Source organism: Homo sapiens, chromosome 16 (assembly GCF_000001405.40).
Source record: "Homo sapiens chromosome 16, GRCh38.p14 Primary Assembly".
Taxonomy (NCBI): Eukaryota; Metazoa; Chordata; class Mammalia; order Primates; family Hominidae; genus Homo; species Homo sapiens.
In genome coordinates, this window is record NC_000016.10 from 66597935 (window position 1) to 66614605 (window position 16671).

A 16671-nucleotide genomic window follows, 5' to 3' on the forward strand; every position below is an offset into this window, starting at 1 on the left:
GTAGCTGAGATTATAGGTGCACGCCACCACGCCCAGCTAATTTTTTTGTATTTTTTAGTAGAGACAGGGTTTCACCATGTTGGCCAGGCTGGTCTCAAACTCCTGACTTTGTGATCCACCTGCCTCGGCCTCTCAAAATACTAGGATTACAGGCATGAGCCACTGTGCCCGGCCAGTACGATGGTTTTTAATTATAACAAATGAATTAAATAAATAAATGAGGAAGAAAAAATTCTTCCTTACCGGAGGCATGTAGAGGAAATAGAGCCACCCTGCCTTCATTCCATAGCAGACATTTCCTGATGTCATCCTATGTGACAGGCTCTGGGCTGGGGCTGGGCTATGACAGTCCCCCTCAGGAGATCACAGTCTGCTGGCAGGATGGATGGTGACATCATGAGTGTGCAGTTAACTTATATACAGGCACCCACCCACTTCTCCTCTTTCAGCTTCTCTAGTTCAGTGCCATATTTTGCTTTTTCTCGGTACCCTTTTTGCAAATTGAGATATAAATTACATGAAATAAAATGCACCCATTGTAAGTATATAGTTTGATGTGTTTTGACAAATGTAGGTCCCTGTGTAACCACCACCCCAATCAAAATAAAGAACACTTCTTAGCACTCCAGGAAGCTTTCTCCTGCCCCCACCGCAGGCAACCACCGATCTGATTTCTGTTACTGTAGCTTACTTTTGCTTGTTCTAGAATTTCATAAAAATGAAATCATGGAGTATGTACCTTTTGAGTCTGGCTTCCTTCCCTCAGCATGCTGTCTGCAGAATGCATCCACATTGCTTTGTTTATCAATGGTTCGTTCCTTTTTCTTGCTGAGTAGTATTCCATTGTATGGATGGAAGTTTCTTTATCCCTTCACCTGTTGATGGCCATTTGGTTTCCAGTTCAGGCTATAAAAATTACGAGGGGGTCAGGCAGGGTGATTCAGACCTATAATCCCAGCACTTTGGGAGGCTGAAGGATCCTTTAAACCCAACAGTTCAAGACCAGCCAGGGCAACATATTGAGACCCCATCTCTAAATTAAAAATTAAGAAAAGAAATAAGAGGCTGGACACAGTGGCTCACGTCTGTAATCCCAGCACTTTGGGAGGCTAAGGCAGGTAGATCATTTGAGCCCAGGAGTTCAAGACCAGCCTGGGCAACATGATGAAACCCTGCCTCTACTAAAATTACCAAAAAAAAAAAAATTTAGCCAGCTCTGGTGATGCACACCTGTAATCTCAACTACTTGGGAGGCTGAGGCATGAGAATCACTTGAACACAGGAGGCAGAGGTTGCATTGAGCTGAGATCTTGCCACTGCACTCCAGCCTCAGCAACAGAATGAGACTGTCCAAAAAACAAAACAAAACAAAAAACAGAAAGAAAAAATATAAGGGGACCTCCAAAAGTTCATGGAAATTGAATTAAAATATAAAAATTTTTAAAAATGAATTTTGTTTCTCAACATAAGCTCCACCAAGGTCAAGACACTTTTTCTTTCTTCTTTTTTTTTTCATGGAGACATGATCTCATTGTGGTTTTGTTTGCTTGTTGTTTGTTTGTTTGTTTGTTGAGACAAGGTCTCACTCGCTCACTTTATTGCCCAGACTAGAGTGCAGTGAGGAGATCACAGATCACTGTAACCTGGAACTCTTGGGCTCAAGTGATCCTCCCATTTCTACCTCCCAAAGTGCTGTGCTATTAGGCATGAACCACCACACGTGGCCCTCAAGATACTTTTTAAAATGAGGATACTAGCCATTTAGTTCATCCCTAAAGAAATGAGGGAATTTAACCATGTCTATCAGTGTGGTCTTTTTTCCAGTATTAACTGGAGAAAACTAAGTGTCTTTTACAGATTTTTTTAAGATTAGGAAACGAAAAGAAGCCAGAAAGAGCCGAACCAGGACTCCACAGGCACAAGTGCCCCAGCTCCCCACATCCTCACCAGCAGCTGGTAGTGCCCCCTTTTGAAGCCATTTCAGTAGACATGCAGTAGTATCTCATTGTGGTTTTAATTTGCATTCCTAGATGTCTCATGATGTTGAGCATCTTTTTACACGCTTATTGGACGTTCATATATGTCTTTTAGTGAATTGTCTGTTCAAATCTTTGGCCCATTAAAAAAAATTGGGTTGTTTTCTTCTTATGAATGAGTTGCAGTTCACAGCCATCCTTTTGTGTGTGTGTGTGTGTGTGTGTGTTTTTTTTTGTTTTTTTTTTTTTTGAGATGGAGTCTCCCTCTGTCACCCAGGCTGGAGTGCAGTGGCACGATCTCAGCTCACTGCAACCTCAGCCTCCCAGGTTCAAGCAATTCTCCTGCCTTAGCCTCCTGAGTAGCTAGAACTACAGGGGGCACACCACCACACCCGGCTAATTTTTTGTGTTTTTAGTAGAGACAGGGTTTCACCATGTTGGCCAGGCTGGTCTCCAACTCCTGACCTCAGGTGATTAGCCCACCTCAGCCTCCCAAAGTGCTGGGATTACAGGCATGAGCCACTGCGCCCAGCCCAGGGCCACGTTTTTAATAACACCAATGGGAACCAGATTTCTCTCTGTTAGAACCCTCACCTGGCCTCCTCCTAGGGAATTGTCCGTAAAATCCAAACTCCAGGTTCTGGTCCTCCCAGTCTAGCCCTGCCCCTTTTCTGACCAGCTCCCCCCATCTTCCCCCACCCTTCCCCCCAAACACCTTGGCTCAGTCCTTTCTTTGACACTCCCTTCCTGGCTGTCCTCCCAACCAGCCAGACATCTGTTATCTATTACCAGGAACACCTTATTCAGGATTCTCTGGATATGTTTAGTGTTTATTCCACCACCATCACCAGCAGCAGCAGAAAAAGCTGGGGCCTTGCTGTACCCTAGGCACTGCTGTTGGATGAATAAATGAATGTCAAGAAAGGCTTCTCTGAGGAAGCAATACTGCACTATAGTCACTGAAGAATAAGGAGGAGTTAATTAGAGAAGAAGGTGGAGAAGCATTCTGGGTAGAGGGGTCAGCATGGACAATGGCTCTGTGGCAGGAGGGACCATAGTTTGTTCCAGGAACTGTAAGAGGTCCATGGGAGAGGCAGGGGAGGGAAGCACAGCAAAGAGTTATATTTTCCTTCTATACTAAGACCCTGTGCAGGTTGGGAAGCTCCCATGGTTTGTGTGTGTGTGTGTGTGTGTGTCTGTGTGTGTGTGTGTGTGTGTGTGTGTTTATCTTTGTGGGGAGGAGATGGAAGTGTTACAGGATCTTTGGGGTGTTAATTTTCTGGTTGGAAACCTCTGTGGCCAGTGGCACCTTTGCCAGAGTTCTTGTCTTGCATCCAGGAAGAATGAGGTACACAGACAAGTGGAGGGAGAACAAGTCAACAAGGAGGTTTACTGAGTGTTAGAAAGCTCAGAGGAGACTGACAGTGGGTAGCTCTTCTCTGTAGGGAGGTCATCCCGTTGAGTGTTCAGCTCTCAGCAGAGAGGAGGCCCTGGAGAGTGTGGCTCCTCTCTGTACCTGGTCCTCCCAACCTCTGCTCAGCTCTGGCTGAGACTGGGGCTTTTATGGGCCTCAGAGTGGAGGAAGTGTGAGCCCAGTTGATCTATGGGCAGCCATGGGTGGGTCAGAAAAGGAGGTACAAGTTCCCACTCTGGTCGGTCGGACTGGCAGCCTGGCCCCCAGCCTTCAGGCCCTCCCTGGCCCAAAGGTGGGGCCTCAATGGGACTTGCCCCCTTCCACCCAGGAATCTGTCCGCCTCCTGCTGCCATTCATGAAGCCCAGGCTTGCCCCAACTTTGCTCCCAGATCAGAGCACGTGTCCACAGCAGGAAGAAGCCAGGCAGCAGGAGAAGGCACTTCCGAGCCTGGGAGGGCAGGTGGGGGCCTTCCTGGGCCCCTAAGAGTACAGGGATGCCTGAGCCTGCAGCTGTGGTTTGGGCAGCTGTAGCTGTGGGAAAGGGGGTCCCAGGGCTCCTGTCTGCCCCATGGAGGAGGCCCCATTCTGCAGCTGCAGTTTGGGTAGCTGCAGCTGCACCTGGGAGAGCAGGACTCCTGCCTGCTCCATGGAGTGTGCAGCCCAGGCCATGCCTCCCTGCTGCAGCTGGGTGATGATAGCAGCAGGTTGTCTGGAGCCACGGCTGCCATCAAAAGTGATCAATGACTGGTGATTGTCATGAGTGGTACAAGGTCAAGAGATAATCAGGTCTGGCCAGGTGCGGTGGCTCACGCCTGTAATCCCAAACCTTTGGGAGGCCGAGGCGGGAAGATTGTTGGAGGCCAGGAGTTCAAGACCAGCCTGGCCAACATGGCAAAACCCTGTCTCTACTAAAAATACAAAAATTAGCTGGGTGTGGTGGCACAGGCCTGTAATCCCAGCTACTTGGGAGACTGAGGCATGAGAATCCCTTGAATCTGGGAGGTGGAGGTTGCAGTGAGCCAAGATCATGCCACTGCACTCCAGCCTGGGTGACAGAGCAAGCCTCTGTCTCAAGAAAGAAAAAAGAGATAACTAGGTCCACACGTGTTTGTGTCTTTCCACAGTGTCAGATTTTTATTCACCCTATACCCAAGGGTAAAAAAAAACAAAAGCCACAAGCTATCCCAAGGAGCCAATTTGCTTCTTCTTCTTCTTCTTCTTTTTTCTTTCATACAGAGTCTCACTCTGCCGCCCAGGCTGGAGTGCAGCTGGAGTGCAGTGGTGCGATCTCAGCTCACTGCAACCTCTGCCTTCTGGGTTCAAGTGATTCTCATGCCTCACCCTCCCAAGTAGCTGGGGTTACAGGCCTGTGCCACCACGCCCAGCTAATTTTTGTATTTTTAGTGGAGATGGGTTTTCGCCATGTTGGCCAAGCTGGTCTCGAACTCCTGACCTCAGGTGATCTGCCTGCCTCAGCCTCCCAAAATGCTGGAATTATAGGCATGGGCCACTGCACCCAGACCCAAGGAGCCAATTTTCCTTAGTACTTCCCGTTCACTCAGTAGTGAGCACATGGGCTCAAGCCACTCCACAAGTCAGTCAATATTGCAAACCATATATAATAGTATACTTAATCCACATGTAAATGTTATAAACATTCCACAACAAACAAAGTAGCATTTAACATCAAGAGAAAAAGAGATAGGAGAAAGGGTTAAGGAACCAGTTCCAGGGTAAGGAAGAAGACAAAAGGAATCCTGGTCTGGGCTTGAGGGTCTTGCAGAGTCTTTGAGGGGCAGAGCCTTGGGAGGCAGATGCAGAGTTCTTATGAACGGCAGTGGGATGGTTGTCAGTTAAGGCTGCTGGGCTGCTGTTTTGTAGTCACAGAGTGCTCTGGTGAGAAATGGTAGAGGAACAGTGTGCTTCTTTGTGTCCTTATGTGGTTGGACGCAGTCTTTATTTATTTTTTTTTTTATTTTTTGAGACAGAGTCTTGCTCTGTCGCCCAGGCTGGGGTGCAGTGGTGTGATTTTGGCTCACTGCAACCTATGCCTCCCGGGTTCAAGCGATTCTTGTGCCTCAGCCTCCTGAGTAGCTGAGATTATAGGCACGGTGCCACCACGCCCAGCTAATTTTTGTATTTTTAGTAGACACGGGGTTTCACTATATTGGCCAGGCTGGTCTCGAACTCCTGACCTCGTGATCCACCCACCTCAGCCTCCCAACGTGCTGGGATTACAGGCATGAGCCACAGCGCCTGACCTTCTATTTTTTATTAAACAAAACATCTTGCCCTTGTTGGCAAAGCACCCTATGAAATATAAAATGAAGTCTTTTTCTAAGATGGAGTTAGTTATGTCAAGGGTGCGCAGTACTGTGCCATAAGCTCTCCCCCGGCTGCCCAGAGAGAAAACCTAAGGGCCTCTTAAAGACACCATCACAGCAGTTCAGCGGGGAGCAGGCAGGAATGGTTTCGGATCTAGTGGTGGTGAGAAGTAGACAGAGATCAGAGAAAGTTATAGGAGGTGAAAGTGGGAGGACCTTGGTTACAGACTGCCGGTGAAGAGGGACAAGGACAACCCGCAGGTCTCCGCTAGTCAGGTGGAAGGAAAGGAGGGGGCAGTGCCCTTCGCAGAGGCACAGGAAGCTGGGTCTTGATCACGCTGAACTCCAGACGCTCTCTAGATGTGCACGCATGTGCGTGTGGAGTGTGTGTGTGTGTGTGTGTGAGAGAGAGAGATGTGTTGGGGTGGGGGGACTGCAGGTCAGGAAGTCCTGCAGATGTGCGTGCCTGTGTGTGTTTGCGCGCGCGCGCGCGTGTGTGTGTGTCTGTGTGTGTGCCTGGAGCTGCGCTTGCAGGTCTGAGAGTCCTCTGAGAATGGGTTGGGGGAGGCGGGTGCAGGACCGAGGCCTGGAACAGCCAACAAAGAGGCCCTGGAGGAGGGTGGGGCTGGCCGGGGACAGGAGGGGTGGCCAAGAAAGTCGCAAGAAAACTCCGGCCCCCAAGAAAAAGAGAGGGCATGGGTTGCGGAGCCGACATCACGGCCGGGGTCTTTGCTGTTTAGACGCCTGGGTTCCCGGATCCCAGACACGCGCACGGGCAGGAAGTTAGACCGGAGACAGCGAGTATAGACAGCCCTTCTGGATAGGGGCAGACGGGTGGGAGCTCCGAAGGGGTGCCGGGGCGGTGATCGGGAGGTCTCCAGCGGCCCGAACCAGGGTGAAGAAGAAGGTGGAGTCTGCGGAGGCCCCAGGCCGGGGAGGGGGCGGGTCGGGCCCAGCATCCCCCGCAGCCGGGGTCCGAGGGGGAGGGGCGGGCTGGAGGAGCGGGTGGGGGCGGGGCGGGGCGTGGCGGCGGGGGATGCGCCCCTGCGCGAGCCAGTGTCGCCTGCCCTCCTTCCGCACAGCCCGGGTTTCCGCTTCCCTCCGGGCGCGAGAAGAGGGGAGCCAGGCCGAGCCCCGGCCCTACCGCCGCCGCCGCCATGTGGCCCCCAGACCCCGACCCCGACCCGGACCCCGAGCCTGCCGGCGGCTCCCGTCCCGGCCCCGCGGTCCCCGGGCTCCGCGCCCTGCTGCCGGCGCGGGCTTTCCTCTGCTCTCTCAAAGGCCGCCTCCTGCTGGCCGAGTCGGTGAGTGCGGCGGGACCCTCGGCCGCCCCGCTAGGACTGCGCGGCTCCTTTCGGAGGAGGACGTCGGGGCGCGGGTGGGGTCCGGGGGCGGCCGCCGTGCTCCGATACCCCCTCTCCGCGCCGCCTCGGCCGACTTCTCTCGGGCGCCTGGCGAAGTTGGGTCGAGGTCCCCAAACTTTGGACGGCGGGGCGGGGCCCGAGCCCAGGCCATCCGCGGCGCTGTCCCCGCGAGTCCAGAGCTGGGGGCCGTGGGAAGTGGGTGGGGCCCGGGGATGTGGGTCCTGCTGTGTGAGCCAGGCGCCCCCGCCCTCTCTGGGCCCCGGGGACTCGGGCAACTCGGACCTCCGGGACTCCCGGGCCGCAGCGGGGTCCGCTTTCCTGCGAGCGGGTAGTGCGGGCCGGGGCCTCGACCTGCGGGGCCGAGCCGGCGGGGGGCCGTGCGGAGCGGGAGGGATCCCCCACCCCCGGGACTGGGTGAGGCGGCCCCGCGGTGACTTCATCGCCCTCCTCCCCTCCGCGGCCGGGCTCCTTCCTACTCCGCCCTCGCCCCCACCCCGGCCGGTGGGGCTTCTTTGTCCTCTGGACACCGGAGGCGCCCGCACTGTCCGCTGTGGGGTAGGGGTGGCGCTGGGCCGTTGGGGATGGGGAGGGAGAGGCCGGGCCGGAGACCGGGGGAGGCGGGAGGAGAGAGCGGCGCACGGCGGCGGCCACTTGTTGCTTAGATCCCAGGAACTTGGCGCTTCCTGCCCTTGTCCCCACTTTACAGATGAGAGCGCTCAGGCGCCTGATTTGACAGGTGGCTCAACTGAGGGGCCCAGTGAGAGCGGCCAGGAGGGTGGGGGCAGGAGGAAGGGGGATTCTGCTCCGGGACCTCTCCCTGGTCACTCAGGGCAGAGGGCAGAAGGTGGTCCTGCAGCCTCTCCCACGGTCAGCCCAGAGGCCACCTGCCCAACGCCCAAGTGAGACACCAATGCCACACTCCGAGCCCACACTCCCAGCCCCACCCTGGAGACCACTGGGAGCCACTTGAGGGGAGAAGCCTCGAATCCACCGTCCCCAGAGTGGCTTGAACCCCCCCATCCCCACCCAAGACCACCTCATAAGAGGGAGGCATATGTCCAGCAGGAGCATAGAGGCCACCCTGGGCCCAGCAGATGTCAGGAATCCAGGTCAGGGAGGATAAGGAAGGGTGAACGGTCAGCACTCAGGGTTCACAGGAGCCGCTGAGGGCACTCCTGCCTCCCTAGTCCCCTCACTCCCACCCCCAGGCCAAGCAAGTGCAGAGGCTGAGATGGACAGAAACAGAGAGAGGAAGTGGCCCCAGAAATCGCGGGATGAAAAAACAGGAATTGAGAGGGGAATCCCCAGAATTAGGCTTTGGGGTGCAGGCATAGGAGACAGGAAGGGGAGGGCCAGAGCTGGGTCAGTCCCATGGAAGGCCTTCCTGGGAGGCCCCAGCAGCCTCCCAGCCCGTCTCTATGCCTTAGTCTATCTTTCCAAAGGGGGCTCAGCTGCACCCAAGGCCATGTGCAGAGCAAATGGGGGTGCTCTGGGGACCCCCTGGGATCCCTGCAGTTCATTTGTCTGAAGCAGCCACAGTGCTTCCTGTGGGGCATCTGGGTGTCCCCATGGGGACTCCTGCACCCACTAGAAACTACTCAGCCATAGACATGTTCAAACGCAGCCACAGTGACAGAAACCAGGGACAGATGGCCTCCCCAACACCCACAGGGCCAAGTTGCTTAAGAACTCTACCTGGGCCGGGCGTGGTGGCTCATGCCTGTAATCCCAACACTTTAGGAGGCCGAGGTGGGTGGATCACCTGAGGTCAGGAATTCGAGACCAGCCTGGCCAGCATGGTGAAACCCTGTCTCTACTAAAAATAAAAAAATTAGCTGGGTTTGGTGGCGGGCGCCTGTAATCCCAGCTACTCGGGAAGGCTGAGGCAGGAGAATCACTTGAACCCCGGAGGTGGAGGTTGCAGTGAACTGAGATCGTGCCACTGCACTCCAGCCTGGGAGACGGAGCAAGACTCCATCTCTGGGGCGGAGGTAAGATAACTCTATCTGGGGGGTCAGCCAGCCCTGGGTTCAAATTCTAGTAGCCTCTGATTAGCCATGTGACAGAGTCTTCTCATCTGTCAAGTGGGGCTGTGCTCATGGGTGGATGTGAGGGTCAGAGGAGATGCCCGTGAGCCTCAGGGTACCAGGCACTGTGGAGCCCCAGGCTGGCCAACAGGTCACCTTGGCCTGCTCTGCAGCGTACCTGGGCTGCAGGACTGCCCAGGGCTCAACATCCTCCTGCATCAGCTCTTCCCACCTACAGAGTTGTGGGCAAGACCACAGTGAACATTTTGATTCTTGTAGTTCAAGTACAGCTGGCCCCACCTTTCACAGCTGGCCCTGTATGAATAAGGCAGCAGGGCCTGAGGTGTCAGTGCCAACGCACCCTCTGTTAGATGTTCCTTTCTTATCATTATGAAAATTTGCAAATACATTAAAACTCCAAAAGATTTTTTTGCTTTATCTATCTGTCCATCAAGGCATTTTATCTTTTAACACAAAATAAATTGCAGACATCAGGACATTTCAACTCTGAACACTTCAGGACGCATATCATTAAGGTTCAAGGTTTTTTCTTTTCAAGGTGAAATCTACATTCAGTGACGAGCACACGTCTTTGGTGTTGGGTGTTACTTTTTGGAAACTGGTTCCTGCCTCGCTTTGATTTCCCTCCGCAGGGCACTGAGTGGAGTGCATGTGCTTGGAAGGCTGGGGCTTTCTGACTAGGTCCTGTCAGGGAGCTGGGGTGGGGTAAGGTGAGGACTCAGGGCCATGCCCAGGACTGGGAGGCAGCATAGGTGTGAGCCTGGGCCATGCTGGGTTTTTTTTTTTTGTAGGGGCGGGTGCGGACAGGGTCTCTCTCTCTCTCACCCAGGATGGAGTGCAGTGGCCTGATCACAGCTCACTGCAGCCTCGACCTCCCCGGGCTCAGGTGATCCTCCCACCTCAGCCTCCCAAGTAGCTGGGATTTCAGGCACACACCACCATGCCCGGCTAATTTTTGTATATTTTGCCGAGATGAGGTTTTGCCATGTTGCCCAAGCTGGGGTCAAATTTCTGGGCTCAAGCAATCCACCTGCCTGGGCCTCTCAAAGTGCTAGGATTACAGGTGTGAGCCACTGTGCTTGGCCTGGGATTCTAATCTGGCTCTGCCACTTCCCAGCTGCGGGACTGTGAGCAGTTGGCTTCCCCTGCTGGAACCTCCTCTATCCTGACCACAGGGCCTGGCTCAGAGGAGCACTGGACAAGGAACATGAAAAGGCTCTGACTTCACCTCAAACTCCTTCCCCGCAGGGTCTCTCATTCATCACTTTTATCTGCTATGTGGCGTCCTCAGCATCTGCCTTCCTCACAGCGCCTCTGCTGGAGTTCCTGCTGGCCTTGTACTTCCTCTTTGCTGATGCCATGCAGCTGAATGACAAGTGGCAGGGCTTGTGCTGGCCCATGATGGTGAGGACAGGGGCCCCAGGAGGGAGGGGTGCCCTGCACAAAGTGGCCAGATGAGGAGTCCAGAGTCGTGCACTTGGGCCCTTATCCTTTCTCTAGTGTGCTGGAGTTTGCAGTTGGTTAGAACTGGATGGAGAGACCCAGCTTCAGATCATCCCAGCTCCACTACTCAGCAGCCCTGTGACCTCAAGTGGGCTGTGGTGCCTCTAGAGCAGGTCTGTGAGGCAGGGAACCCGGAGAGGGGTCTCTGGCCACCAGGTGGCGCCGGTGCTCCCCACCGGGCCTACAGGAATGAGCTGCCGCCACAGGAATTCAAGCCATTTCCACGTGGGCAGGACAGGTTAACTGAGGACTTGCAGGGCTTACCCAGACTTCAGCCATCGGCAACCCTGACCTCGTTTTATCACCTGTGAGGGCCCAGACCCCAGTGGACCTCGCTGAATGAAATGTGTCCTAGAGAAAGGGCAGCAAAGGCTCAACTTGAACCCTTGTCTCTTGACTTCATATCCAGCATCTGCTGCCTCAGGAGGGCTGCACCCTCTGTGTCCCCATCTTAGGGACGGATAAGCAGAAACTGTGGTCCATGAATGGATCGGCCACAAGAGTGTGACAAAGCCGAGGCCCAGAGCCAGATCTCCCCAATGGAGAGCGGGAAGGGAGCAGGTGGGGGTGTTTCCAACTTCTGCTTCCACCGCATCGCAGGGCAGGCTGCACCCTGATCCACACAGTTTTTTGCCCAGAGCTTAGGACAGCAGCCCCGCTGGACCCGGGATAGGGCAGTGTCAGCTGCTGGCAAGGCAGCAGAGGCACCTCGGGGGTGGGACAAGGGCCTAGGCATGTGGGTGGGGCCAGGATGGGATAGGAGCCCTCAGGTGCTAGGCCTGGGGCTGGGAACACGACCAGGCTGCCAGGCCTCCTCCCCATGCTGTGCTCAGCTCCAGGGGCTCAGGGCAGCATGCCCCTCTCTCCCCAGGACTTCCTGCGCTGTGTCACCGCGGCCCTCATCTACTTTGCTATCTCCATCACGGCCATCGCCAAGTACTCGGATGGGGCTTCCAAAGCCGCTGGGGTGAGCAGCCGCCCCACCCCTCTGGAAACTGCAGATGCCCCTCTAGCCCCTCATTTAGGGTGGGACCTGGGGCAGAGCCTTTCCCTGCTGGGGCCCCCCTGGGGTCTCATGTGGGTCCCGATGATGATTCCAAAGTCCTCTCATTAAAGACTGACTCTACCCGGGGTTTTGAAAGGCTGTTTGTCAAACCAAGTTCACAGCTCATTTTCCCACTTCCGTTACTCACAGGGGTCTGTGCCTGACACTCGGGCTGTTTGTCCAAGCAGATCTGAAATGGGCCGTGAGGCTGGGGCAGCAGCCTCCCGGAGCAGGGAGTCAGCCCTGTGATGCATCCCATCCACCCTGTCCACAGGTGTTTGGCTTCTTTGCTACCATCGTGTTTGCAACTGATTTCTACCTGATCTTTAACGACGTGGCCAAATTCCTCAAACAAGGGGACTCTGCAGATGAGACCACAGCCCACAAGACAGAAGGTAAGCGGCTGCCCTGATCACCCCAGCAGTGCTGCAACAGGGGCCTGCCCTCCCTCGGGGATGCCAGCTAGTTTGAGGCTGGGGTGGGATCATTTCCTCTCTCCCCATGGCAGGAAGTGTTTTCACAGCCCATTCTCACCTACCCTCATGCAGCACTGATCCAAAGCCAGTCCCATTCGCCTCGTGCACCCTCACCCCAGCCTTTCTAGGAGGGGCAAGCAGTGGGCATGGCTGAGCCTCAGGCCAGGCCGGCAAGTCTCCCTGGACGACCCCCCTGGGCAGCCAGTCACTCTCGGGCACCTGTCCACCTGGGATCCAGAGTGGCCATCCCCCAAACCCAGCCCCTCTGCTGTCTTACCCATCCAGGCCTGTCCTGGGAAGCTCAGAGCCCAGAAAGGAGTCAGACCCAGAAACCGTGGCAAGGGACAGATGATGTGTCCCGTACCAGGGGAGGGGCCAGATGGGGCAGCAATGACGACAGTAAAACAGGAGCCGATAGAGGGAGGGATACAGTAGCTGAAAGCAGGCCCACGCTGGGTGTCAGCTGGCCCGAGGCTCTGGAGGGGACACTAGAGCTGGGTACTGACAGATGGCAGTAGAGGAGTGTGCAGGCAGAAGAGACCAGGCCGGTGTAGGGAAGAAGGCTGAGAGCAGAGACAGCAGGCGCTTCTGCCTGGGGAGATGCTTCTCTGGACCAGGCGGATGTGCCCCTGTGCTGGCAGTGCCTGTGGCTGGACAGGTAGACAAGGGCAGCTCTGGAAGGGCCTGCAGGCCCCACCCTGTGGTTGGGATCTTCCCTAGGCAGGACCAGTAGGTTAGGCTTAAGAGCCACTGGTTTCCTAACAGCCAGGTGCTGGGGCCATGGGGATTTGTGAATCCCAGAAACCGTCCTTCTGCTGAAAATGAATGCCACTCATCCCATCCCGTCCCTTGGCAAATATTAGGTTAGAGCTCCCAGGCGGTTTCCTCAGGCTCTGCAACCTGCTCCCAGTTGCCCGCAGCAAGTGATCCCAGACAACCAGCCCAGGGACCAATTAGTAAACGTCAGTGGAAACTTGGGTGGTTTTATTTTGTTTTTTTTGTTTTACTATTTGGAGAGTTTCACATATGTAACAATTATTTTGCTGTAAAATTATTCTTGACTTATATGTTAGAATTGAATATAGCAGCCAGGCACAGTGGCTCACGCCTGTAATCTCAACACTTTGGGAGGCCGAGACGGGTGGATCACTTGAGGTCAGGAGTTTGAGACCAGCCTGGCCAACACGGTGAAACCCCATCTCTACTAAAAATACAAAAATCAGCCAGGCATGGTGGTGCCCGCCTGTAATCCCAGCTACTTGGGAGGCTGAGGCAGGAGAATCACCTATGGGAGGCAGAGGTTGCAGTGACCTGAGATCAAGACATCGCACTCCAGCCTGGGCGACAGAGTGAGACTCCATCTCGGGGGGAAAAAATTGAATATAGCAAAACCCACAAAATCTGACGAGTGCAGCCCAGGAACCGGAGTGAGGGACAGAGCTGGGGTTTAGGGACTAGGCTGCCCACACCCCAGCCCTGAGCCCAGCCATGAGCCAGCGACAGCTCATGGGGACTGACTGGGGTTCTGAGAGACAGAGGCTGGCCAGGGAGGGGATGAGCATCAGGAAGTAGCAACCAGCACTGGGGTGGGGTTGGGGGTTAGTGACTCTGGTGCTTTTCCTTCTGGGGTGGAGGTTCCAGAAGGCTCTACAGAGCTCCGAGACAGAACTGGGATTTCAGGAACCCTCGAGGTACACCTCATAGGCAGGCCCTTACCATTATAAAATTGTTTCTGATTACAATATTAAACAAGGATTGGGGGAGGGGGATTGAAGATATAAAATGGCTAAAAAGAGGCTTGCTGATTTTCCAGTATATTTTAGTTTGGGGGACAAGAAAATAGCTGTCCTCACCTTGTCCTGCTGAACCTGGGGGTGGGGGTAGAGCTGGAATGCAGAGGTACAGCCCTGACCCACCCAGCTGAGAAAAGCCCAGGGAGACTCCGGAGGGGCTGGGCCTGAGGAAGGGGCACCTGGGCTTCAGTCTTGGGGTGGAAACACCCCCACCTGCACCCGCACCCACACCCTGGAGGTGCAAGTGGCTTCTGCGGCCGGGCACGGTGGCTCACGCCTGTTACCCCAGCACTTTGGGAGGCTGAGGTGGGTAGATCACCTGAGGTCAGGAGTTCAAGACCAGCCTGGTGAAAGCCCATCTCTACTAAAAGTACAAAAATTAGCCAGGTGTGGTGGCACACGCTTATAATCCCAGCTACTCGGGAGGGAGGAAGTTGCAGTGAGTCGAGATCCCGCCATTGCACTCCAGCCTGGGTGATGAGCAAGACTCTGTCTCAAAGACAAAAAACAACAACAAAAAAAAAAGAGAGAGAGAAAGTGGCTGCTGCCTGTGGAGGGCCTCAGGCCCGCGGCCTGCCCTGATGCCAGCGATCACTGGGAACGGTAGAGTCAGCTGCAGGAGGCCTGCACCCAGGCTCCTGCCAGCAACCCAGCTGTGCTTCCCCAGAGACCGTTCCCAGGCACCGCTGCCCTGAGCCTCCTGCCAAGCATCCTCTCTGCTTTCCTTTCAGAAGAGAATTCCGACTCGGACTCTGACTGAAGGCCTGGCGGGTGCCTTGGCAACCTGAGCCACACAGGCCTCCACCCCTGCGCCTCACAGGGGTCGCTGGCGTTGGAGCGGAGGCCTGGACTTCTGAGTTGCAGAGGGGGCTGCGGACACAGCAGGCCCCCTACAGCCTCAGGTTCTGCCTGAGCCCAGCCTACCAGGCTTGCCCCTCAGCTCAGCACTGTTGACCACGCTGCGTATGAGGGCATCTTGGGTATCCCACTCCTTCTCCCCATTTCTGTCCCACAGGCCTTCAGCCCTTTAACGTCTCTGCCAAAAACCAGCACAAGGAGACAAAGCAGAGCCTTGTCTGTATCTGGGCAGCAGGTGTTCCATGCTGCTAGGTGGCGGGGGTCGGGGGTCTTCTGTTTCACTAACAGGAACAAAGACAGAAACCATGACAGGGCTGCCCCGCCAGGCCCCGGTGGGTTTGTCTGCACTTGGTGCTCCTGCCCACACCAGCCACTTTGGTGACAATGACCCTTCCAAGAATCTTTGGTTCAAGGAGCACCAGTTCCCTCTTCATTCTTGAAGCAGGGAGAAATTGACCTTTGCCTTGTCGCCCAGGAAGTGGGGCTCGGCACCCATAACTAACACCTCCCACCCTTGGAAACCATGTCTTCTGGGGGTGAGATGACCATTCTGGGTCTAAGACTGTTTCAAAGAAGAGCTCATAGACTGACTGGTCCAGAAGACAGAGGGTACAACAGTGGCATCACAGTGACAGTGTCATGGGGAGCTGGGCGGGCCCAGCCAAACCCTCCTTCTTCCTAGAGCCCAGCCAGCAGGCAGGAGTTCCTGGACCCTCAGGACAGTGAACTTCCAGACCTCAGGGCAGGTCTATGGGCCACTGCAGGAGATGAGACCAGCCTTCTGTGTTCACCTAACGATTTATACTGTGTATCTGTCTTTGATGGAATTTTGTAACTTTTTATATTTTTTTATGCAAAAGCAGCTTCTTAACAGATGGCATTTTCTGTGACTCTAGGCCTCACAAAAGAGCCAGAGTTCTGGACCCATGTTTGGAGCATTTGTAGCCTTATTCTCTTGCGTGTGAATCTCTTACCCTGAAAAAAAGCCATAATGAATTAAGCCAGACTGACCACTTGCTTGGAGTGTGTGCTTGAAAAAACCAGAGCAATACTGTTGGGTATTGTATCAGGCTTCAGTACAAACTGGTAACACCAATGTGGATCCTGACAGCTTTCAGTTTTAGCAAAAATACACGTGAAATCTGACTACCATTTAATCCTTTATTTCCCTAACCTTTTTGGCACCAGGGACCAGTTTCGTGGAAGACAGTTTTTCCATGGACTGGGGGTTGGCGGGTGGGTTGGGGTGAGGGTGGGAGGGGATGGTTTCAGGATGAGACTGTTCTATCTCAGATCATCAGGCATTAGATTCTCATAAGGAGCACACAACCTAGATCCGTAGCATGCACAGTTTACAATAGGATTCGCATTCCTATGAGAACCTAATCCCACTGCCAATCTGACAGGAGGCAGAGCTCAGGCGGTAATGCCGTTGCTTGCCACCCACCTCCTGCTGTGCAGCCTGGCTCCTAACAGGTCCCATGGTACCAGTCCACTGCCCAGGGGTTGGGGACCCCTGCTCTAGTTCTCACACTACCCTGTTTTATAAACAAAGAAACTGAGACAGAGGTCGGGTAACTGGCCCAGGGCCCTCTCACTTACACATCAGGATAGTGTCTCACGGCAGCCTCAGGCAGCCGGAACCCTGGGGCTCTCCTGGTTTGGAAGCTGGTTGCATAACAGCCCAGAGGACTACAGCCCTGGAGGACCCGGGTCCGCATTCTTATCCAGGCTGATGGGAAAAGACAAGACATTCCACCCAAACTGTCACACACCACATGTGCTGAAAATGGGTAAGAAAGCTGGGTGTGCAGGAGTGGAGAGGCCCCTGGTGGAATTTACATTCCACCTTGTAAGCCCTGGCAAAGCG

The 16671-nt window shown here is 54.7% G+C and overlaps 2 protein-coding genes across 12 annotated transcripts in view, besides 3 other annotated features; one reads left to right on the forward strand and one right to left on the reverse strand.

Moving 5' to 3' along the window:
- Positions 1–243: 243 nt before the first annotated feature.
- The window catches only part of CMTM4 (CKLF like MARVEL transmembrane domain containing 4), a 98566-nt gene continuing 82138 nt past the window's right edge, over positions 244–16671 (reverse strand). Inside the window, exons 5-6 of one of the 3 annotated variants that reach the window (XR_933209.3) lie at positions 740–906; positions 249–373 (exon numbers count right to left, since the gene is read on the reverse strand). Coding sequence is in view for 1 of the 3 variants with exons in the window: in XM_017022954.2 (XP_016878443.1) it covers positions 864–906 (43 nt within the window). In the remaining 2 variants the exon portion in view is untranslated. Of the gene's footprint in view, positions 907–16671 lie in introns of all 3 variants that reach the window. The other 2 variants (XR_933210.3, XM_017022954.2) reach the window with 2 other exon arrangements.
- Positions 6062–15958, forward strand: CMTM3 (CKLF like MARVEL transmembrane domain containing 3). Of its 9 annotated transcripts, none has more exons than NM_144601.5 (6): positions 6062–6621; positions 6797–7018; positions 10375–10530; positions 11501–11596; positions 11949–12069; positions 14675–15953. In NM_144601.5, the coding sequence occupies exons 2-6, from the start codon at positions 6872–6874 to the stop codon at positions 14701–14703; spliced, it is 549 nt and encodes a 182-aa protein (NP_653202.1). In that variant the 5' UTR covers positions 6062–6621; positions 6797–6871; the 3' UTR covers positions 14704–15953. The 9 variants fall into 9 exon arrangements, 8 of the variants coding, with proteins under 8 accessions (NP_653202.1, NP_001350852.1, NP_001350847.1 ...); NM_001363923.2 differs by having other exon boundaries at positions 6062–6548; NM_001363918.2 differs by having other exon boundaries at positions 6062–6515.
- Positions 6655–7494: a silencer, noted in NCBI's record as "silent region_7561". NCBI's record gives its function as "represses an Ori minimal core promoter by ATAC-STARR-seq in GM12878 lymphoblastoid cells {active_cell/tissue: GM12878}" and the evidence as "EXISTENCE:reporter gene assay evidence [ECO:0000049][PMID:35858748]".
- Positions 7555–7774: a silencer, noted in NCBI's record as "silent region_7562". NCBI's record gives its function as "represses an Ori minimal core promoter by ATAC-STARR-seq in GM12878 lymphoblastoid cells {active_cell/tissue: GM12878}" and the evidence as "EXISTENCE:reporter gene assay evidence [ECO:0000049][PMID:35858748]".
- Positions 11066–11877: an enhancer, noted in NCBI's record as "H3K27ac-H3K4me1 hESC enhancer chr16:66642903-66643714 (GRCh37/hg19 assembly coordinates)". NCBI's record gives its function as "activates a minimal SCP1, AML or CMV promoter by ChIP-STARR-seq in naive H9 embryonic stem cells {active_cell/tissue: H9 hESC(naive)}" and the evidence as "EXISTENCE:reporter gene assay evidence [ECO:0000049][PMID:30033119]".

Coding starts and splice junctions, on each gene's coding strand:
- CMTM3 (NM_144601.5), top strand. CDS start 6,872: ATGTGGCCCCCAGACCCCGACCCCGACCCGGACCCCGAGCCTGCCGGC. Junction 7,019..10,374: donor GCCTCCTGCTGGCCGAGTCG/GTGAGTGCGGCG, acceptor CCTTCCCCGCAG/GGTCTCTCATTCATCACTTT. Junction 11,597..11,948: donor GGGCTTCCAAAGCCGCTGGG/GTGAGCAGCCGC, acceptor CCCTGTCCACAG/GTGTTTGGCTTCTTTGCTAC.